The following is a 23,657-nucleotide window of genomic DNA, read 5'->3' on the forward strand; positions in this document are numbered from 1 at the left end:
CTCTAGACATGCACCACCATGCCTGGCTAATTTTTAATTTTCATATTATTTAGAAATGAGGTCTCACTACATTGCCTAGGCTGGTCTCAAACTTCTGGCCTTGCGTGATCCTTCTGCCTGGGACTCTAGGCACATGTCACCGTGCCCAGATAATTTTTAAAACTTTTTATAAAGATGGGGTCTTGCTACTTTGTCCAGGCTGGTAGCAAGTTTGTAGGCTCAAGTGATCTTCCCACCTCAGCCTCCTGAAGTGTTAGGATTACAGGCATGAATCTCTGTGCCCAGCTTCAATTTATTTTCTATGAGTGGAACAATTCTGCATAATAACAAGGTCTTCATGGCTTGGGAGGAAGTGGCAGAAGTAGAATGAAGTGGAAGTCATTGGATTTGATGAAGTTGAAGAAGCTTTGCATTAGGGTATTTTATAGGCTATCTACATGGGTGATGAAATCTCAAGATGATGGTAGGCCTTTTAATGGAGTGGAAGTCTATGGTCTAGTTTTCAGATACTTTAATGAATGATCGGAAATAACAAAGAGATTGGAAGTAGACAATAGTGACGACATGTGGAAGGTAAACCGCATTTAATGATCTGGATGCAGCATCAGGGACTGAAGAGGTTGCCAACCCTACCTCCCTACTTGAAGTGTGGTACATTGAGCAACAACCATTTGAGAGTGATGGAGGGAGAATAGTTTTTTGGGAGGATAAATTCAGTTTTAAGTTGAGACTTAGCTGGCAGAAGCCTCCTGTAGTAAAACTAAAGATGCAGGAAAAATTGTTTAGCATGTGCCAGGGGTTCCAGAGGACACAGTAGAAGGAGAGCTCAGAGGGTGAGGGTTTGCGCAGGAGGTGGGCATATGAGAGAAAAATAGCACAGTAAGGGTGGTGACTGAAGCCAGTGTGGATGGGGGGGTATGTATCTTGAATTGTCACAGTCCTTTGCCCACTGCAGAGAGCAGGGAGTGCCACTGTCTTAATGTTTGGATTTTTTCAGGTTTTCGAAAGGCCTTACACTCTGACCGTCCTCCTTCTGCATCTCAGCCCAGAGGGGAACTTATGTGTTATAAGGCCAAGACATTCCAGATGGACGATTACAGTCTCTGTGGGTTGATAAGTCACAAGGACCAGCACAGTCCAGGTGAGTACCTTTATAGGAACATTTTCTCAACAATGTTTTTCTGTCACATATACAGGACTAGGCAAGCTAAAAGCTTGTAGTTACAGCTATGACAAGAGATGCATGTTTCTCGAAGGGACCCCCCATGCATTGGAAAAGATTCATTCCTCCACCCACAGAACCAGCCTGGAAACTTACCATGCAGATGAGGCAGGCCTCGGTTCACCCCTGCAATCTATAGGGACTGACAAACTAGCCTTCAATGTTCTGCTGCCTGTGGCTTTCTTTACCCAGGAGTTCATCTGTTTGAAAAGCACTGGGCAGAAGGTCAGATTTGTTCCGCCCCTATGTTTCCCAGGGTCAGCCTAGCTAGGTTCATTAGGATATCATATAGGACCTTGAAACCTGCTATCCCAGTGGAGTCTAGGGTGACCCCTAGTCGAACAAACCCCCTTGGCCATCTCAGCTCACACAGCTTGCCTGCGGGCTGCCCTCGCCCCCCAGCAGAGCCCTGCTGCCACCATCTGTGAGCCCCTGTTCCACTGGTCATCCTTTCACAAGTAGGGTTTGAAGACCGATCTTCTGGATGTTGTCTGATGACTTTCTTTCTATTGCATTCTTGCTATGGCCTGTCTCTGAATTTAGCAGCCCTAAATTCAAGTGTGCTGAGGTGCCGATAGCTCCACAATTTCTCATTCTTCTCTTTTCTTTCTCCTCAAAGGCTTTGGAGAGAATCACCTTGTGCAGCTGATTTACCACCAAAATGCAAATGGTTCCTGGGATCTGAATGAAGATCTAGCCAAGATCCTAGGTATGAGTTTGGAAGAAATAATGGCTGCACAGCCTGCCGAGGTAAGATTCAATGGAAAAAGGAGTATGTATGTTTTTGAGAGAGAGGTCATCATTGAGAATTGAGGTGATTCAGGACCTACCTGAGGAAGGAAAATATAGGGGGTCATAGACTAAATTAATTTGTAATAAATAGAGGCTGAAGGTTTTTCCAGTCATGTTAGAGCAGAAAGATCAAGGGATTAATGGGGAAGCTAGTAGGAATTGATGGGGTTTTTTTTGCTGGTGGATGACAAAGGGAAAGCAAAAATCCTCTTCCACTTTAATCGTATTCCCTGCCAATCATCTTGGTTATGTAACTAATACTTAGTGAGCAATTACTCTGTGCCAAGCACTGTGCTAAGCAGTTAATATTCATGAGCTTATTTATTTCACACATTAATTTAATAAGGTAGATCCCATTTGTGTTGCTGTTTATAGATGAAGAAACTGAAGTTCAGGGAGGTCTAAAAATGTGTCTGAGTTTACCTAGCCCATCAGTGGCAGAGCCAGATTCAGTTCTAAGAGTATCTGTCTTGAGAACCCCCAATAATAACCTCATTATTGCTCCTCTTCATACCGATGAAAGTGGTCCAGACATTGGCAAAAGTTAACTGAAGTCAGGATAGGTAAAGTGTTGTTACTAGGAACCACCTAGTTGTTTCAGATGTATTTAAATATGCTGATAAGGATAAATTGCATTCCAGAATTTCAAGGTAACTTACAAAATCTTCTAACGCTCATTGAGAAGTTGTTAGGCATGAGACAGGTGCAAAAAGCCTGAAGGACAAATATCATTCTAAACTTTCAAAATGTGGAAGGAGATCAAATAAATTTCAGATATTCTGCAATTCCACTGTCCAATACAGTATCCACTAGTCACATGTGGCTATTGTGCCTTTGAAACGTGGCTAATACAAATGAGGAACTGAATTTTTAATTCAATAGAGGTGTGCTATGGTGGGAAATACATACTAATTGCAAAGACTTTTATAAAAAGGAATAAAACATTTCATCAATAATTATTTTTATATTGATTGCATGTTAAAATGATGACTTTTTAATAGATTGGGTTAAATAAAATATATCAGTAAAATAATTATACCTCTTTTACTTTTTAAAATTTGGCTACCAGAAAATTTAAAATTACATATGTTTCTAGCATTATATTTTTATTGGAAAATGCTGTTCTAGAAAAGTAATTAAGATGATAATTCATACACACTTGGAAGAGGATACAGGGATTATTAGATGCACTGGGAACAAAAAACTTCAGACTGACATTTCCTTCTTTGGAATGGTAACCAGGCCAATGAATCAAGTGAACCAACAGACCTGGTATATCTGAATTTCAGTAAGGAATTTGATTTTTTTTTTAATGATGAGAACATGGACCAAGTACAAATTAGTTGAAAACCTATGGCGCTGAATGATGAATTGATTTCAAACATGAAACAGATTTTTAGACCCACCAGGCTCTGAATTCTCTGGAGGTCCACAGTTTCAATGAAGATTTAGATGAAGATAAAGACCAAGACTTTCCTATTTGTAGATGACAAAACTGGGAGATAAACTATCAGTCAAAAGAATCAGGATCCCAAAAAACCTCTGAACAATGAGTTGCAACTTTTCATTAAAAAAAAAGAAAAACAACATAGTAGGAATAAAAGCTAAGTACTGTTTTGGGTTCCAAATTCCCAACTCTACAGGTAGAGAAGAGAGCATTTGCACATGAAAATCAGAGGTTTTAGATGACTACAACTGTGTGAATCAGAATATTTAACTAAGAAATGGAGGACAACAGGGTTACCTGAAATGGGCTGTGATTGTAGAATTCTATAAGTACATTTACCTCCAGATAGACCATTTAAGGAGATATATTTTTAAAATCATTACGCTGTTTGTTTTTAGACTAGGAGAACAAGCGTGGGGATGCTTACTGCTTTGACATAAGCAGTCCTCTTAAGGAAGAAATGGAGGAATTGAGAATTCTAATCTGAAATAAGACCACTCAGAGAGGACATGATAGCCATTTCCAAGTTTTAAAAGTCATGATATAAAATAGGAATTTCCCTTGATCTCCTGACTCTGAAAGCTGAAGCTGGGAGCAGTGAGCGAAAACTCATGGGAGACAATTTTCTGCTGCATGGCTGAGATTTTCTATTGAGAAATAAGAGAATATAACTAGAGTCAGAATATTTGGCCTTTAGTCTCACTTCTGTCGTTTGCTAGACAGCTAAGTTTGAGCAAATCATTTTGTTAATACTTCTATATGAAATCAGTTTTCTTTCTTAAAAATGTTTATTGATATTTTTTCATGATTTCTTTGGTGGGGGGGTATAAGGGTTACAATTAAAAAAAACTTATGAAGGTTCTTTATAAACTATAAAGCAGTTTTGCCTGTGTTTCTCTTACTAGAGCTGGCCTTGTCTTAGGGGTTTCCAGAACCGTCCTGGTGGTTACACTGGATTTAAAACTTAGGATTTTCTATTTCGAGACTCAATGGATTGCTGCCCTGAGGTTTAAGGCCTGGCATTATGCCTTGCAAGTAGTATCTGGAGGTAAAGAGAGACCAGGTAACTCCATCTAGTGACATTTAGAAGGATGCTAAGTGAGGAGGGAGTGAAGCTTTTTGCATCCTTTTGAGGGACTTCCTGTGCCAACTGGAGCTCTCTATCTACTGTGCAGCTTGTGGATTCCTCAGGCTGGGCCACCATCCTGGCCGTGATCTGGCTGCACAGCAATGGTAAGGACTTGAAGTGTGAATGGGAGCTTCTGGAAAGGAAGGCCGTGGCCTGGATGCGTGCCCATGCAGGTAGGAGCACAATCCTAAGGCCTGTCTCCTTCCCCTTCCCTGGCCTGGCGGAAGGTGACCACAAGAGAGTCCCATTGTCACCTGCCTCCACCATCCTGCTTCAGATCTTTACTAATCTTTCTGCTAGTTCTTTTCTTGGGAGGACAAGGGTGAAATATTAAATTGGGGACAAGGTAGGTGGGTGAGTAGGGAGGGAGAGGGACACAAATGGGGAGTGTGAACTGTGAGAAGGACAAGTGGCATTGATTCTCCTTACTGTCTCAGTACCAAGCTGAGTAGAAGACTAGACTTGGTGCGTGTTCTCCTGGCTGTTTGTTATCTCACTGCAGCTGAGTGTATCTGGGGCCAGAGAAGATTCAAGGAGAATCTGGGTAGCAAGAAAAGAAAAAGCAGGGATATTGAGGACAGATAAAAGCACAACTCAGGGTAGATGATCTGGGAGGTTTGGAGGAGCCTCTAATTGCAATCCTTCATCCCTGCTTCTTGTTTTTCCTCACCACAGGCTCCACCATGCCTTCGGTTGTGAAAGCTGCTATTACTTTCCTGAAGTCATCTGTGGATCCTGCTATCTTTGCCTTTTGAAGATACCATCCAGAAAAAGAAGTGCCTTTAATTTGCTACTGTCATTTCCTCTAGTATCACTTTTGCTGTGATGATGTGTTCTTGTGTATTATAACTCTTTATTTTTTGCCATAAAAGTAAAGGATGCTTACTCCACTTCGCTTCTCTGCTCCAGGTTCACTTTGGATATGATCTTTCTTTTCCCAACATATGCCCTCAGAAAAGTGACAGTGGTCCCAGAACCTATTCCCTTTCTTGAGGGAGTTCAAAACATTCATAGGCAGTAATGTTCCTCCCAGGGTTTCCAGGGAAACAACATGAAAAACAGGTGACATGAACTACAGACTAAAGATTGCAGCATTTATGTTAGAGAATGCTTGAATTAGAGAATTTTCTGCATTATCTTTGTCTGTTCACTTTCTATCTTATATACTTATCAGGGCCATACTGGTAAGCTTGCGTAGGAGGAGTTAGAGGGAAGTTGAAAGCCAACATCTGGATCAATGTAATGTCAAGATCACAAAGACAGAGACTGCAGGGGTCCACTGTGAGAGGTGACACTGTTGGGGACCTTCCTGATTCATTCTTCTTGGGCTTTGCTAGCCTGTACAACCTACATGTCTTTTCTTCCACTGCCTGAAAGACTTGGGTTGAACTATAACTGTTGGAGAGAGATGTTCCTCTTTAATCATGAAACACCTTAAGAAGTCTATAATGCAATCCTTAGTCCTACCCTGAACCTATGTGTCCTCTAAGTCAGGCCCTGATCTAGTGCAGTAAAGGGAAGGGTGGGCTTAATGGGAGCTTTGCCTGGGACCTGAACCTGGAGCACTTACCGCATTAGGAAGAAAGGAGCTCCCCGTAATCGTTCCTGACCCTTGTGTCTCATATACCCTATCCTGGTGGAAATGACCCTATTTGATATGCTGTCCCTTAAAATAACTTGTATCAATATTAAAATGACTATTTCTACCCTTTGATGAGTAAATGCAGTGGTTCTTAAAGTGGTCTCGTCTCCCTACCCCACAATATTTTGGTACTGCCACTTTGGGAAGCCAAACTAGGATAGTAAATTGACCGGAACACAGTTGTGGAAATTTGACCTGAAGTTAGTGAAATAAAACTTAGTAGGGAAAAAAAGCTTAGCAAGAGGTCTACTCCTCCATAGATTCATTTATTGAACTTACATTGGTTTTATTGTCCCTTGTTTTCTGTTCCAGCTTTTCTGATGCCTCCACTGTTCCCATGGTATCCTGACCCTCTATCTTCTGTTGTAGGCTGACTTCTTTTATATGAAGCAAGTAAAGGATACTAATAAGAATACCACTGTAGAATCCTGACCATACCCTTAAATAGTTATGTGATGATGGGCAAATGATTTCACCCTCAGGCACTTAATATCCTCATCTGTAAAACTAAGGGATTAAACTAGAACTTTATTAACACTTTCGAGTTCCACTCAGAATTCCTAGAGGAACATCGGTGACTTTTCACTCAGAAAGTGGGTGGACTAGGCCTGAGTTTCTTTAAGTTGTTGAGTTACCTGGTATTAGGAAGACTTGTGTGACTTGCATAGTGGACTCTAATCTCTCAGTCTTTCTTCCAAGTTTGTTTATGCTGAATGTGATCTGCGGAACAGGGTTGTTAGAAATGCAGCTTTTTAGAAATGCAGAATTTTAATCGATACCAGGAACTACTTTATTTAACAAGGCTCCCAGGTATCATGCATGCACATTGAAGTTTGAAAAGTAAAGGCTTAATATTTTCATGAAATAGGCTTATATCCAAGCCTGCCATCTAGATAGGCCCTACCTATGTAATTTCAGAAAATAGTTTCTTAAGGACCGTGAAACTTGTATAGTTAACCTCTGTGCACACAATGCTGTGACTTTACATTTATTATGCGGAGCGCTTATCGTTTACCTCCTTTTTTCTCACCCTTCAACTTCCAGACTGGGGCTTGTGGACTTAGTGCGGGGCGTTCTAAAACAAAAACTAAACGAACTAAAAGAAACAAAAAAAAAATTATCAACCTGTCTTTTGACCTCTTTAAAATAAGACAACTACAGTTTTAAAGTGGCGTGGTTTTATTTTTCCATTTGGGCTCCTGCACAGTGAAATGTTGTGCCAACTGTAAATTCCTCGAATCTAAACAAGTGTCAGTCTTCATAATCAGCAAATGGCATTTTGGCACATTTGTTGAAACCCCATTTCAAGTCTGATGCTTTATGTTTTGGGAAAGTATAAAGAACCATCTGTAATTTCAGAAACTGGTGGTCCAGGCAAGGAGCCCAGGAGAGAAGCTGTTCTCATCTCCCATTAGTTGCCTTTATCTAGTGCTTGTTTCCCCCACAGCAGCAGACTTGGCCACAGGAAAAGTGGCAGATACCATTCCCTCAAGATTCTTCCACTCAAACAGGCCAGGAGCTCCCCTGGAGGGTTCTCTGTTCTACACAGACTTACTAATGAAATCCATCCTCCGTCTTCCCCAACTCTAACACAGTCCCACTCAGGGTCACTGAGCATCTGCTCTTCCTCTCCCAACTCACAGCAATTCCTTCCTTAAAAACAGTCCATCTGCTTTCTGGAGTATCTGATTGACCAGGAGAAAACCAAAAAAAAAAACCCATGCAGTGAACTGTGTATTTTATCAGTTTTTACCTCATATATTTTGATATTCTCCTAAGTGCATATACATTTAAAATTATCATACATCCTTGGAAAATTGACTCTTTTATCATTATTTAATGCTCAACTTTATTCCTGATTTTTGTTGTTGTTGTTCTGAAGTTGGCTTTGTCTGAAATTTACGTAACTACTGCAGCTTTCTGCTGATTGGTTTTGGCAGGGTGTATCTTTCTCCATCCCTTCACTTTTAGCCTATATGAGTCTTTTTATTTAAAGTGGATTTTTGGAAACAACATGTGGTTGGGTCTTATTTATTTGTTTTTGTTTGCTTTTAATCCACTCTGGCAATCACTACTTTTAAATTATCGACCCATATCATCTATATTTAGAGTAATTATTGATAAAATTAGGTTAATATCTACCATGTTTGTCAACTGTTTACTATTTATTGCATTTTTTTCTTTTATTTTTTCATTTTTGCCTTTTCTCACTTTAACCAGGCATTTTGTGTGATTTCATTTTATCTCCACTCAATATATCCATCATATTTCTTAAGAATTTTTTTAGTTTTAGCTCTGGGGTTTGCAATATGCATTTATCACTAATTTAAGCCCACCTTCAAGTTACACTATATCACTTTACATGTAGTGCAGTTACCTTATAACAGAGTATTCCTAATTCCTTCCCATCCACTATGACATTGCTGCCATTCATGTCACTTATGTCTATATTTTAACTACCTAATTGTTACTATCATAACTTTAAACAGTTATCTTTCAGATCGATTAATAAGAAAATGAAAATACATATTTCACTTTTATTTATTTCTTCCTGACATTTCCTTTCTTTGCATAGATCTGAGTTTCTTACCTGTATCCTTTTTCTTCTTCCGGAAGAATTTGTCTTAAAACTTCTTGTAGAACAGATCTGTGGGCAATGGATTCCCTTAGTTTTTCTTTTTGTCTGGGAAAGTCCTTATTTCTTCTTCACTTTTGAAGCATAATTGTGCTGAACTTATAGCTCCGTGTGTGTGTGTGTATGTGTGTGTGTGTGTGTCTATTTTTTTTTGAGACAGATTCTCGCTCTGTCACCCAGGCTGGAGTGCAATGGCGTGATCTCGGCTCACTGCAACTTCCACCTCCTGGGTTCAAGTGATTCTCCTGCCTCAGCCTCCCGAGTAGCTGGGACTACAGGCACATGCCACCACACCTGGCTAATTTTTTTTATTTTTAGTAGAGACGGGGTTTCACTGTGTTAGCCAGAATGATCTCGATCTCCTGACCTTGTGATCCACCTACCTTGGCCTCCCAAAGTGCTAGGATTACAGGCATGAGCCACTGCGTCCAGTCGTCTTGTCTTTTAACACTTTAAATATTTTACTTCAATCTCTTTTAGCATGAATAGTTTTTGGCAAGAAATATGCTGTTATTCTTTTTCCTCTATAGGTAAAGTGTTCTCCCCCTCCTGCCCCGCAGACTTTTGGGATTTTCTCTTTGTCTTTGGTTTTCTGCAGTTTGAATATTATATTTGTAAATGTAGGGCCTTTTGTATTTATCCTTTTGGTGTTATTTGAACATTCTGAATCTGTAATTTTGTGCTTTTCATTAATTTTGGAAAATTTTTGCTATAACTTCAACTATTTTTCTGCTTAGTTTTTTCTTGTATTTCAATTGCATGTTACACTGTTTGAAATTATCCTGTAAGTTTTGAATGTTCTGCTCTGTTTTTCCTATGTGTTTGTTTTTTATTTTGTTTTTGTTTATATCTTTACATTTAAGTTTAGGAAGTTTCTATTGGTCTATCTTCCATTCCAGAGATTCTTTATATAGCCATGTGAATGTGTGTTTGTTTTTTATTTGGTTTTTGTTTTTATCTTTACATTTAAGTTTAGGAAGTTTCTATTTGTCTATATTCCATCCCAAAGATTCTCTTCCAGGTTTGTAAATGTCAGCAGTGACTCTGAAGTCACCTGTCTCTCAGGATTTCAGAATGACTATTTACCTGTGTTCTCAGTTTCTAAAGGGTACAGATAAATGAGTTTTGTATTATTCCATTCTTGCATTGCTATAAAAAGAAAACCTGAGACTGGGTAATTTATAAATAAAAGGTTTAATTGGTTCACAGTTTGGCAGGCTATACCAGAAGCATAGCAGCTTTTGGGGAGGCCTCGGGAAACTTAGAATCATGATGGAAGGCAAAGCAGCTGGTGTCTTCATGTGGCCAAAGCAGGAAGACGAGAAAGAGGAAGGAGGTGCTACCCACTTTTAAACAACCAGGACTCGTGAGAACTCTGTCGCAAGAACAGCACCAAATGGGGAAATCCACCCCCATCATCCAATCACCTCCCACCAGGCCTACCTCCCACACTGGGATTACAATTCGACCTGAGATTTGGGTGGGGACACAAATCCAAACCATATCATGTTTGTTCAGCTTTTTCTTGTGGTAATGGTGAGAGTGATGGTTTCCAAACTCTTTGCATGTTATAGTTGAAACTGGCCTCCATGTAGTCTGATCTACCAAATCTCCACACTTCACTGACCCTTCATTTACAGAACTGTACTTTTTGGAATTTCAGAGGTAGAAAACATTCTTTTTTCTATTGTGGTCTATCCAAAGTTAAAAGTTTGGGTTTGTTTGTTTTGCACATAAACCAGTTTTTATTACTAAGTGATGTAACAAACAGACATCCTTAATGGTGAGATATGAAAATGAGGTGAGGTGTGGGGAAGAATTCAGTAATGCAGTGAGGGTCAATAAATAGACAGAGTCTCAGGTAGGGATGAGGGTATAATGTTAGGCAATTCTTCTTAAATAATAATAAGCATAGTCATAAAGCTGAAAGTGGAATTGTATAGAAATATAGTCAGGCTTACTTTTAAATATATATATATTTAAAAGTATATATATATACTTTGTCAGCGATCAAGCTCTATATAGACTTTAGAATCCATGCCTTTTTTAGTCTTTATTTCACTTTAAAAAAAAAACAGCTTAGTGAAGTGTAGTTTATGTACTGTGAAATCCATTCACTCACTTTAATTCTTTTTTGAGGTACTGTAATTAACAGTTTAACATTCAGTGGATTTTTAGGGTAAAGACGCTTAAGCTTACAAGCATGTTTTCTGCTTTACTGAGGTACAATAGACAAATAAAAATGATCACTCTGTCTTTTGATTGGAGAATTTATTTCATTTACATTTAAAATAACTATTGATAAGTGAGGACTTATCACTGCCATTTTAATTGATTTCTGTTTGTTTTGTAGTTGGCTTGTTCTTCTCTTGCTTTCTTCCTGTATTTGATTTTTTTTTGGTAGCAATTTGCTTTGATTATTTTCTCTTTATGTTTTGAGACTTTTCTTTGTGGTTATCTTAAGGCTTTCATAAAAATAGCTTGTATTTATAACCATCTATTTTAAGTTAGTAACAACTTCAACTGCATACAGAGACTCTATGATTGAAAGTATTATTATTTTTTGCTTTTAAAAATAAAAAATGTGAAATAGCTACTTGTTTTGAATATTAAGAACAAAGATTATAATACTTTATTAATAAATTAGCTGAATTATCTGATTTTGGGAGAATCTGTAATCACTAATAGATAAAACCATTAAAATGAATGTTACAGATACAATTAATACACAGCTATATATTTTCCATTTTGTACCAAATATTTATACAATAATCATCTTATAATAATGTTCAGGTGTAAATAAATATATGAATGACACTACCACCCTGGTCCAAGATACATAGTGTTGCACATATTCAAAACAACTTTATCAATTATGATAGATTAAAAATTAGCACTTCTGCTGTTGTGATTTCTTAATGTCCATGGCTAAACAGACACACATTAAATGCAGAAGATATTATAAAATGAAGCTGTAGTTCAAGCAGATCAGATTTATCTGAGGAATAGATAGAAATATTCTCTTATAACTATCTATTAGAATGCATGATCAAAGGACGTGTGACGTTTGAAGGCAGAGATTCTGAATTTGGGTTCAATAGTTTCTGAAGCTCCAAGAACTGATAGTTGGTTCCAAATGGACTTAATATTGATTGAGACACCAAATACTTTCAGGCTCACATTTCCATTGAGAGATGGAAACTAGTGATTCATTTTAGACATCAAACTGCTCCATCTGATTCCAAGGACTGGTCCAGTGTTCTAGCCTGTTATGGTTACCTGACTTATATCCCAACAGGTTACAGGCTTTGAAAGTGGGAGTGGGATCAGATAGAAGCATGAAAATTTGTTTAGGAATTAGTGATGACTGAGGATTTCAAATCACTCAAGAGCGTTTCCAAGGATTCAAGTCCCTGATATTGCTTTCATTTCCATCTCTCCCCAATAAAAATGCAGAATATTTTCAGTTCTATATTCCCCCACTAGGTGGGTCACACCTCATCCATAGAAACCATCAAATTTTTAGGATGCCAAGAACTTTTCCACCAGGAAAAAAAAAATGATAGGAAGGGAAGAAGAACAAAAGGAAGAAAAGAAAATAGCAGCTTCAGATATGTGTCACCCAGTAAATAGCCATTATTATACTCCTTTCCATTTTTGGGCTTACAGCCTAATTCTTCTCCACTGGGTTATCGCAGATAAAGGAAGAAACATGATTGACAATTCACCGCAGACCCTTATCCTGCCAAGAAACAACAAAGCACCTGTCATTGGATCAAGAATGCCTAGACTTAAGCTTGCTATTCATAAATAGAAAATTTTGCTGAAGGATTAGTTGATGAATCAGTTGTTGCTAGACTATGTCATGACTTACTTGAATACCTGGAGCAGGAAAAAAAAAGGAATTAAATTAAGCAGACTAAAACAAAGATGATGCAAATATAATGCAAATTTCCTCACAAGTAGTAAACTTTCCAGTGGGATTTTTTTTCCCTAGGAAACAGAACATGAGCTAAATAAGTGTCTCTCTGTCTCTGTTTGTTCCTCTGATGCTTTATCTTATGATGATGATGATTATTATTATTATTATTGAGACAGACTCTCACGCTGTCACCCAGGCTGGAGTGCAGTGGTATGATCTCGGCTCACTGCAACCTCTGCTCCCCTAGTTTAAGCAATTTTCCGACCTCAGCCTCCGAGTTGCTGGCATTACAGGCATGTGCCACCATGCCAGGCTATTTTTTGCATTTTTAGTAGAGATGGGGTTTCACCATGTTGGCCAGGCTGGTCTGGAACTCCTGGCCTCAAGTGATCTACCTGCCTCCGCCTCCCAAAGTGCTGGGATTACAGGCATGAGCCACCGTGCCCAGCCTATCTCATTATATTTTGATGCCATAATCTTGTCAAGGAATCCAGGATAAAAACAGTAATAACCATAAGGTTATATAGAAGGCTTAACCAAATATTCAAATGAATCTATTAATAATTCATCTCTCATCCAGAGACAGCTGCTTTCTGTATGGTGTCACTTTGGGAAGCAGTGATGATGTAGTGGAAAGAGAGCTAAACCTGGGAATGCCTGCTCTTCTACTGTCTAACTTTAGAAAAGCCAGAATTGCTCTGAGGTTTAACGTCCTTATTTGTAAAGTGGAGTTAAGAAAACCCACCTGACACAGCTCTTAAGAATTAATTAAAACTACAGAAAAGTGTATTGGAAAACTAGAACAACTACAAATGTTAGGTGGTATTAGTTATTAACGAGTATTTGAAAATCAAAATTAGTGATAAACTTATTTGTCTTCATAACACAAAGGGAGAAGTCATATTATTCTGGATTTGAGATACAACCCCATCATTAACCAACTCTGTTACCTTAGTTATGTTGATTAAACTCTTTGAGATTAAGCTTTCTACTATAAAAAAATAGATAGAAATACATTTTTGGTAAATATTGAAAGATATTAAATACAGAGCCCTCATCACAATTCCAGTATATAGCAAATCCACAGAAAATGTTAGCTATTATTAAAAATGTGATGTACTTACTAAGACATCCCAACAAACTGTGTCCACCCTCTGAGACCCTATCTGAGCAGTATCTGTACACGCTCCACAACCTGCTTTTCTCTTCTTTTAAAAATGCTTCAGCAACAGCTTTGGTATTACAATGGTAATAGTTTTGTAAACTTTGTAACTACTTTTGTAACTACTATGGACATATTCATAATTGCTTTTGCTTTAGGGGTTAGCTGAATTATCATCATTAATTTAAAGCTCCACTTTTATTGTGTTAGGTCAGTATCTTTGAAAAATTTTATGGTGGAAATAAAATCAAATAATTTTATACTAAGAAAAAACTTTAAGTTTTTTGAATTTATGTTATTCATTCAAATTGAGAATATCCTTAATGGTATACCTGAAAGATGGTTCTCTTTACCTCTTCTTGAATACTTCCAGTGATGAGATCATTACATCAAAAGGTTGCTTATTTCATTGATGTACATTTTCTAATAATTAAACAATTCCTTTTTACATTGAAAATAAATCTATCTTTCTACTATATCTGCCCATGATTCTTGAGTCTGTGTAAAATAACTCATATTGAGTCTACCCACCAGCTTTGCAAGCATTTGAAGACCACATTAAATCTCTCTTTCTCTTCTTTTGGTGCAAGACTCAAATCTCTGTAACTCAGCATAGCCTAGTGCTGAAAAGAATTGGCTTTGAGATTACAGTCTCAGCTCATTTACTTTCTAGTTGTGTAATCTCTAGATTATTTAATCTGTTTTTCAGTTTCTTTGTCAAATAATACCGTCTACTTTATAAAGTTTCATTTGGAGATTAAATGTAACAACGAATTAAACAAATTAGCATGACAGTTTATGGTAAGTGCTTACAGTGGATTGTTAATTAACTAATGGCATTTTAGTTTATTGTTTTTTGGTTTATAGCTCCTCTATTTATACTAGTCATCTTCCCAGCAATGTGTGCAGTATGTGAGACTGTTATTCTTTAGGAGTAATGACCTGAAGATACATCATGATAGTAGATGCATAATAAATATCTACTGATTAGGCTTCTGTCTTGAATAGTGATGTTTATTAGATATAGCCATATAGTCACAGGCATGTATAGACAATTTCAAAAGTGATGAGGCAAATGGTAACACGAACTATCATGAGATCGTGAGCTTATGATATTGAGCTGAATTGGAGCAAAGACTTGAAGGTGTAAAAGACAACTAAACAAAGGGATAGCAATGCAAACGATCTAATGTTAAAACTGGTGTTTTTCTACTATGCAAACAGTCTTGGGGGAACATATTTCCCACTTTAGAGCATCCCTTTCCAATGATATTATTACTGTTATCTCGTGATTGGGTGATGAATGTTATTGACAAACTAATTGCTCCCTCAGAAGTATCACTGAGTCCCAAGTAGGGCTTAAGGGGATCTGAGAAGAACTTTCAAGAAAGCAGTCCAGAGAGAGTGAGTGTGTACAGGTCTTGATTGTACAAATCCTATGAGACTTGATTCTTTATAAATAGGAGAATTAAGGCTCCTTTGGCTGGAGCACATTGTGCTCTGCTGAGAAAAAGTAAATGTGAGATCTTGTTATAACAGTTGGAAAACTTGACTATATTCTCAGGTGGACTGTGTGAGTGTTCAAACTTCTACCCATGTCTCATTGTTAGCCTCTTCCCCTCACACACTAATGGGTTCACACATTGAGAATTTCCTGGTCTTTGGTGACTTCTTCCTGAAATGGACTTAAAAATCAAATTATGGAATCACAGTATATCATGGTGTCTGATCATTGGCAAAACCAGATTCTCTCTTTCTTGCCTTTGCTGACCAAGGAGATGAAAGCTCACAGGAATCTGCGCTGCTCAGAGAGACGATTCAGGTGTGGCTAGAATTAATAACACGGGGCAGACTGCAGAAGCATTTCTTCCCCAGAATGTCACTGTTTCTATATTGTCTTTACTTTTGCCCAGTTCTTGGGTAATATGTGGGTGACTCATTCTGGCTTGGTCGCTCTCTTTAGAGATGCTTTTCCATGACACTTGCCACAGCTTATGATTGGGATCCCCATGTTGAACGTGGCTCTGCAACTTGAAAGCTCCTGTATTGGAGCTGATACTAAGATCTAGTGTTAAAGGGATAGAAAACACCTGTTATGTGATCTCTAAAACTAAATGAAGTATTTATCAAGTGGGCTCTAAAGTCAAGACTGGAAACGACCAGGAGGAAATAGGACATGAAGACTTTTCCTACCATAATATAAAGCAATGATGTCAATGCATCTGGAAAGCGTGTCATTGCCGAGCAATGGGACAGGCTGTCTTAGAAAGCAGAGGCAAACAGAAGGCACAATTTCCTAATGATTGAGGGCACAGGAAATGGAATTAAACCAATCTGTCACATACTAGCTTTTCAAGCTTGAGAAATTTGCTTGATTTTTCTAAGCTTCACCTTCCTATCTATAGATAAGAACAGTAATAATAATAGTAATTTCTTTTTATAGGTATGCTTCAAAAATAAACAGCAAATTTTAAAATGCTGAGCCTGTCCTTGGAACACAGTAAGTATTCATTAAATGGTGTGAGTGTGTGCGTGTGTGTGTGTGTGTGTGTGTGTGTGTGTGTGTGTTACCATTATTATTACTAAGTGAGTAATGAGAGATCCCTGAATCTTTCAGGCATTATACCCTGCTCCTGACTTACATAACCTACCTCATTAGTGCTGTTCTTTGCCTTTCTTTACATGGATCACTGTATTTCTTACTTCATTATGGTAACATGAATTGGATGCTTTCCTTGCTGATACTGTTTCTCAATATTTCAGTCATCTTAAGTCAGCTTAGAAATGACTATAAGAACAAGAAGAACCAGAACAGCCTCTCTTATTAGAGTTAAAGATCTTCGACCTTTCAAGTCCAGAAAGATGTAATCTGAAGAGTATGTAATCTTAAATCTATTCAACAATGTTATTTAATAAAATATTTTTTTGCAAATAATTACAGGATATGCACATTAAAGGAAAGTGCTTAAAGAATTAAGTTTAAGATATATAAAATAGAGGGAACTAAGCTATGAAGATGCAAAGGCATAGGAATGATACAATGGACTTTGTGGACTTGGGGGAAAGAGTGGGAGGGGGCAAGGGGTAAAAGACTACAAATATGGTGCAGTGTATACTGCTCAGGTCATGGGTGCACCAAAATCTCACAAATCACCACTAAATAACGTACTTATGTAGCTAAATACTACCTGTACCCCAATAACTTATGGAAAAAGAGAAAAAAACCTTTCATTATAGTTCATAGTTTTGCCAGACATTTTAGCAGATACTTCATAAACTTTACTATAATACTAGGATATTTGTGTTACCGATGTTGTTATAATAAGTATGATTTCCATTTGGCAGATGATGAAACTAAGTCTATGAAAGACGTCATGTAAATTGTTTTAACAAGTATAGCTAATAAATGGAAAGGCCAGGATTCATATTAAGTTTTCTGGTTTCTAACCTAATTATTTTTCTGTTACATTGCAGAGGGCAATGAATAGTGGAAGTTTCTTATGTAAAGACATCACAAGAGTTCAAATAGTAAATATGCTCAAAAAGAATAAATCCATGGTACATAGGCTTCTAACTTAAGCTAAAGTGTTTTAAATATGCCTCTAAACTTCTCATCCTGTAGAAGACAAGAATCTGCCTTTACAAAGCATCCCTTCCATGAGTCGAATAGACTGACTCTAAAATAGGCATTTCCTTATTATCTGATTTTTTTTTACATGGATCTCTCTCTTGCCTTTCATAAGAAGGCAGGTTGTTCCTTGTTAAAAACATAGCCAAAGCACTCATCAGCAAAAAGCTTGAGAACTTGACATTGGTGTTTAGACTTTGGTGTCTTGGGTACCTTTTCAAGGTTGGATGTTTTCACAGCCATGAGGAATTTCTCGGTGGTGTCCGAATTCATCCTGCTGGGCATCCCTCACACGGAGGGTCTGGAGACTATTCTGTTGGTCCTGTTTTTGTCCTTCTACATCTTCACCCTTATGGGGAACCTGCTCATCTTGCTGGCTATTGTCTCCTCTGCTCGGCTTCACACGCCCATGTACTTCTTCCTGTGCAAGCTGTCTGTTTTTGACCTATTTTTCCCTTCTGTGAGTTCCCCTAAGATGCTGTGCTATCTTTCAGGGAACAGCCGAGCCATCTCCTATGCAGGCTGTGCATCCCAGCTCTTCTTCTACCATTTCCTGGGCTGCACTGAGTGTTTCCTGTACACGGTGATGGCCTACGACCGCTTTGTTGCCATTTGTCACCCTCTACGCTACACCATAATCATGAGCCACAGAGCATGTATCATCCTAGCCATGGGGACCTCATTCTTTGGCTGCATTCAGGCCACCTTTCTGACCACTCTCACCTTCCAATTGCCTTACTGTGTCCCCAATGAGGTGGACTATTATTTCTGTGATATCCCAGTCATGCTGAAGCTGGCTTGTGCAGATACCTCAGCCCTGGAGATGGTGGGGTTCATCAGTGTGGGCCTCATGCCCCTCAGCTGTTTCCTTCTCATCCTCACCTCCTACAGTGGCATCGTCTTCTCCATCTTGTAGATCTGCTCTGCCGAGGGCCGACGCCGTGCCTTCTCCACCTGCAGCGCCCACCTCACCGCCATCCTGCTTTTTTACATGCCAGTGGTCCTCATTTACCTGAGGCCTACCCACAGCCTGTGGTTGGATGCAACTGTTCAAATTCTGAATAACCTGGTCACCCCCATGCTGAACCCCTTAATCTACAGTCTCAGGAATAAGGAGGTGAAATTATCACTAAGGAAGGTCTTATATCAGCTGGGCTTCCTTCCTGAGCAGTTGTAGAGAGAAATAAGTAACTAGCGCTTCAACCACACTTCATAGCTTATAACCATTTTTATTTAGTTGTCACACATATTTTTGAAATTGAGGGCACAGGTATTATTATTTCCATTTTACAGTGTGGAGACTAAAACTCAAAGTAACTTGTCCAAGGACATGTAAGCTGTGAATGGCAGAATGAGGACTCTAGAGCTGGTTTTGTGACTCTGGGGCCTGTGCTCTTTTGAGGAAATCATACTGCTTGAGAGGGAGGGAGAGAGAGAGAGAGAGATTGAGAGAAACTCTTCTCAGTAGGCAGAACAGCTTGGAGCTTCTGCTTCTCAATCTGTATTTTCTTCATCCTCCTACATCCCCTCCTCCTCTTCATTTCCCTCACACCATGACATTTATTCATCTTGACTACAGTGACTATATCCTCAAATGCCTGCATTGGATAAGCCCTCATTTTTATGCATCTACAAGTTGTTAAAAATGTTATTCAGTCAAAAAGGAATGAAGAATGCCTCCTACAATGTGGATGAACTTGAAAATCTAATCCTCAGTGGAAAAAAAAGCCAGACACAATAGGTCACATATTGTGTGATTCCATTCCTGTTAAATATCCAGAGCAGGTAAATCCATTAAAACAGAGGAAATTGACCTTTTTTTTTTTTTTTAGTTTGACTGTGGGGTGATGAAAATGTTTCGGAACTAGGTAGAGGTGATGATTGCACAACTCTGTGAATGTGCTATGTACAACGTGAATGTGAATGTACAAAATTCCACTGATCTGTTCACTTTAAAATAGTTCATTTTTTGTTATGTAAATTTTACCTCAATTTAAAAAATCATTCTCTCAAAAAAAGAAAAGAAAAGAAAAACAAAAAGTGTTTTTTTGTTGTTGTTGTTGGTGGTGGTGGTGGCGGTGCATCCCAATTTATTTAAACAGCATCCTGTTATTTCTGAACCATAAGGAGGTTGTATAAAGAGAAAGGCATCTGGCTGGGACTTGAGGCAGTCTCTTATGGGTAAAGCAGAGATACTAGTGTGCTGTATCACTTCCAAACCCTGCCTGCCAGGCTTAGACCTGGAAACAGGCCCTGGGTGTGAAGAAGCAGCATGTGAATGAGATGCGAAGGTAGGTAGGGGAATCCAAACAGGGGCAACTGTACTGTGATCCCACGTTAGAAAGGCTGGCTTTGGGCAGGGCACGGTGGCTTACATCTGTAATCCTAGCACTTTGGGAGGCCAAGGTGGGTAGATCACCTGATGTCAGGAGTTCGAGACCAGCCTGGCCAACATGATGAAACCCCATCTCTACTAAAATACAAAAATTAGCTGGTCATGATGGCGGGTGCCTGTAGTCCCAGCTACTCGGGAGGCTGAGACGGGAGAATCCGTTGAACCCGGGAGACAGTGGTTGCAGTGAGCCAAGATCACGCCACTGCACTCCAGCCTGAGTGACTGAGTGAGACTCCATCTCGAAAAAAAAATAAAAGAAAGTCTTGCTCAGTACAACGAAGAGGCAATGCTGGGTCCAAGATGTCATTGTTTGGTGTCTTTGCCTTCTCTGTTGACTAAAAGGGTTCGATTTTGGACCCCCTCTTACATTTCTTTATTTTTTGACTGAAATATGCCAATAATGAGAAATGAGCTATTGTTTTCATAACTGAATTCATTGAGAATCCTATCACACTGGGGAAATATGTTGCTGTGAAGTTTGCTCTAACAGGGCTGTAAAGAGGATGATGGAAGAGGAGAGGGCAGAAGCAGAGACTAGTGCTTTTTCCCCACCTGCACTTCTTAGAATTAGAGAGCAGTAAAGAAACGGCCAGAACAAATGAGCAACACTGTATCCATGGCTCCAGCCAGTGGGTGAGCCTGCACAGCTCCTGGAAGGGAGACAAACGTTTGCCTGGTCACTACGCAAACTCCTAAAAACCTCTTTCGGTGCTGTTTCCCCCTTGTTTTCCAGTAAACAAGAGCCTAAAAGGGAAGCTAGAAATACATCTCAAATTATTTCAAATTTATTCCAAATCGCAAGCCCTTGTCAAGCCTCTTTGAGTCCACTCTGAAGATCCCTTCCCATGCCTCAGTGTACTGGTGTAGCTGCACAGTCAGTAAAAACAGACAAATTTGTAAAGATAAAAGATGAGATCTGATTCCTTTTCAAATCTTCACTCATTCAGAGTTGTTTGATGAATAACTCTGTGCAAGGGCGAGGAATGCAAAATGAAAAAGATATGACCCCAGCTGCACAGAAATCAGAGTCTGCTGGAGAAACAGACATACAGCTAACTAGAACGTCCCATCATTAAGCTATGATCAAGATGTACAATACAGCAGAAAATCTGGAGTGCATTTTCCTCATTTGAAGAAAGGACCTTACAGAAAAGGTGTTGAAGATTGAAAATGTTGTGTTGTTTTTTCCGTATTAAGAATGGCTGAGGAGTATTTTCCAGGGAGAGGCAACATACTTCTCAGTCTTTATATGTGCAGGGAGAGCAGTGAGAGATTATTTGGGCAGGTATCACTTAACTATTTGCCATTTGTGACTAAATGCCTTTGCAGGAAAAAATAAAATTTAGTGTGCCTTCTGTTTTCAGGGTTCTTCTCCAGCTCAGTTCTTTGTTCATTGGACTTGATGTCTTGAATAAAAAAACTATATCCCTATCTCCTTAAACAAGTTGACTTCTCTGCTTGTCCCAGCCGTTCTGAGAGATGCTGTTCTTAGGTCTCCAGGTAGTGTCTGAGTTCTCTTTCCACCTAAGCAGGAGCCTAGAATGCCAGCCCCAACCTGGAGGCGTGCAGGCCCAAGTTGGGTGTGAGGGTGAGCTGAGATTTTTCTGTGTTCTATAATCTAAGGGGTAGTGTGAGAAGAACTTGAGAAAAACTGTGAAAGGGAAAACCTCAAACCAGGTAGACAATCCAGAAGAATATTTAACCCACAGGGGCAAAGCAAGACAAAAAAATCAAGTGTCGAGACCAGGGAGGCCAGAGAAGAACAAGAATATTGAAGCGGAGGATCAGAGGATGTTTTGAGCAGAACAGGCTCCAGCATAGCCTTTCCTGAGACAGTGGGTTCAAGCATGGTCTAAGAGGGGCATCCAGGACCTGATGCCAAGTGGATTCTAGTTTCTTTAAAGGCTTCTTTGTTCTCCCCCAATTTTTTTTTTTGCAAGACACTCCTGTATTCTCCAGTCACTGTTCCTTTTTGCTCTTTTCTAATTTTTTTTACGAAACTGATGCCTGTTCTGAGTTTCATTTAGGTGTTTTGTTTTACATATAGTCCCAAGAGCACAAAACTATGATGGGAGCATCCAAAGTGAAAACTTATGATGTGGACACTAAAAGTGAAGCTAAGGTGATGGCCGCTGACATGGCAGGGGAGGATTGTGAAGAGGAGTTTTCAAAGGAGTGTTCACAGGTGTTGGGACCTGTTCTGTTTATTTCCTGCCCTCTCAAGTCCCCTGCTGGTTTGTTCTAAATCAAATTGATTGAAATGAATGAATAACCAGTCAGAAATCATGTTTTCGGTCACTAAATTTGCAATTACTTTTGGTCAAGGATACTGACTCCACCTTTGCAAAAATAACTAGTCAAGCTAAGAGAATAGCATTATTACATTATATGTTGTATTGGTTCACTTAGGGTAAGAGGGGCAATAATACTTGTTATTGTTGGAGTGCTACATTGGTGAGAAACAATTGAGCCTACTATATATCATTCCTTTATTTTACATTCTGTTTAAAATTATTATTTTAATTACTGTTTTGCTAATAACCTATAATAATGATACCATCAAAAAGCCATTCTTTATTGTCCTGTTGGATGTCTGTTTTTAAAAAATATTTTTATTAAATATTAAACATTTAGAAAATAATACTCATGAAAAATATGTAAAATATAAGGAACTGTGATACAATGATACAATGAACACATGCATCCCATTACCTAGTATAAAAAAAAAGAGTAATGCTAGTGCCTTGGAAGTTCTCCGTAGACCTTGGCCTGATCACACATCCTTCTTTCTCTCTAGAAGTTATCATTCTCTAGAGTTTTGTGTGTATTATTCCCTTGATGTTATTTGCATTTCACCTGCTATGTCTGTGTCCCTAAACACCTATGTTTGTAACCCTTCTTTGCAAAGCTTTGAACTTTTATTAATACAATTCAACTGAAATTGGCTTTTTTCACTTAAATATTACATATATATTTCAATTTCCTCCCCTTTTATTTTCAGTTGACACACAATAATTTTACATTTATGGGATACAGAGTGATTTTCAATATGTGTGCACAACGTGTAATGATCCAATCAGGGTAATTAGCATATCCATCACCTCAAACATTTATCATTTCTTTGTGTTGTGAACTTTCAAAATCCTCTCTTCTAGCTTTTTGAAAGCATATCGTAAATTATTGTTGACCATATTTACCCTATTGTGCTGTAGAACACTAGAACTTCTCCCTCCCATCTAGCTGTAACTTTATATCTATCAACCAACCTTTTCTTATCCTACATTTTCCCTTCCCCTTCCAAGCCTCTAATAACCACAATTTAGGATCCCTTAACACATAAAGAAACTCTCTGAAGGTAACTTCTAGAATAGGCTGAGGAGATGTGGACAGAGGTCCTAAGAAATATGGTCATAATTCATTCACATCCTAACGTAGTATCTTTCCACAATGCAAACCACATACTACTACTCTGTTTCTTTTGGATCTTCAATAATTGTTTGTTGCATATAGGTTGAATTAAAACAATTCAGTACCTTATCTGCAGAATTAATAATCAAAACAAACCTATCTCTTTAGTTTCCTCAAAGCCATAAGTTCCCCCAGCAACACCCCATCTCTCTTCTTCTTGCCATTCAGTGTTTAACATAATATGTATTAAATAGATACTGGTTTATTGAAAGAAC

At 38.6% G+C, this 23,657-nt stretch overlaps 1 protein-coding gene, 1 long non-coding RNA gene and 1 pseudogene across 4 annotated transcripts in view; all 3 read left to right on the top strand.

Moving 5' to 3' along the window:
* VWA5A (von Willebrand factor A domain containing 5A) overlaps positions 1-7,121 on the top strand; it is a 32,272-nt gene extending 25,151 nt beyond the window's left edge. For all 3 annotated transcript variants that reach the window (XM_011542828.3, NM_001130142.2, NM_014622.5), the window contains 4 exons: positions 998-1,141; positions 1,842-1,972; positions 4,637-4,763; positions 5,266-7,121. In XM_011542828.3, coding sequence (XP_011541130.1) covers positions 998-1,141; positions 1,842-1,972; positions 4,637-4,763; positions 5,266-5,345 — 482 coding nt within the window. In that variant the 3' untranslated portion in view covers positions 5,346-7,121. The remainder of the gene's footprint in view (positions 1-997; positions 1,142-1,841; positions 1,973-4,636; positions 4,764-5,265) is intronic.
* A 9,235-nt stretch (positions 7,122-16,356) lies between these two features.
* LOC124902778 (uncharacterized) lies at positions 16,357-16,886 on the top strand. The gene is made up of 2 exons (XR_007062930.1): positions 16,357-16,451; positions 16,715-16,886. It is a non-coding gene; the product is annotated as an uncharacterized LOC124902778 (long non-coding RNA).
* On the top strand, positions 17,822-18,754 carry OR10D1P (olfactory receptor family 10 subfamily D member 1 pseudogene; annotated as a pseudogene).

Source organism: Homo sapiens, chromosome 11 (assembly GCF_000001405.40).
Source record: "Homo sapiens chromosome 11, GRCh38.p14 Primary Assembly".
Taxonomy (NCBI): Eukaryota; Metazoa; Chordata; class Mammalia; order Primates; family Hominidae; genus Homo; species Homo sapiens.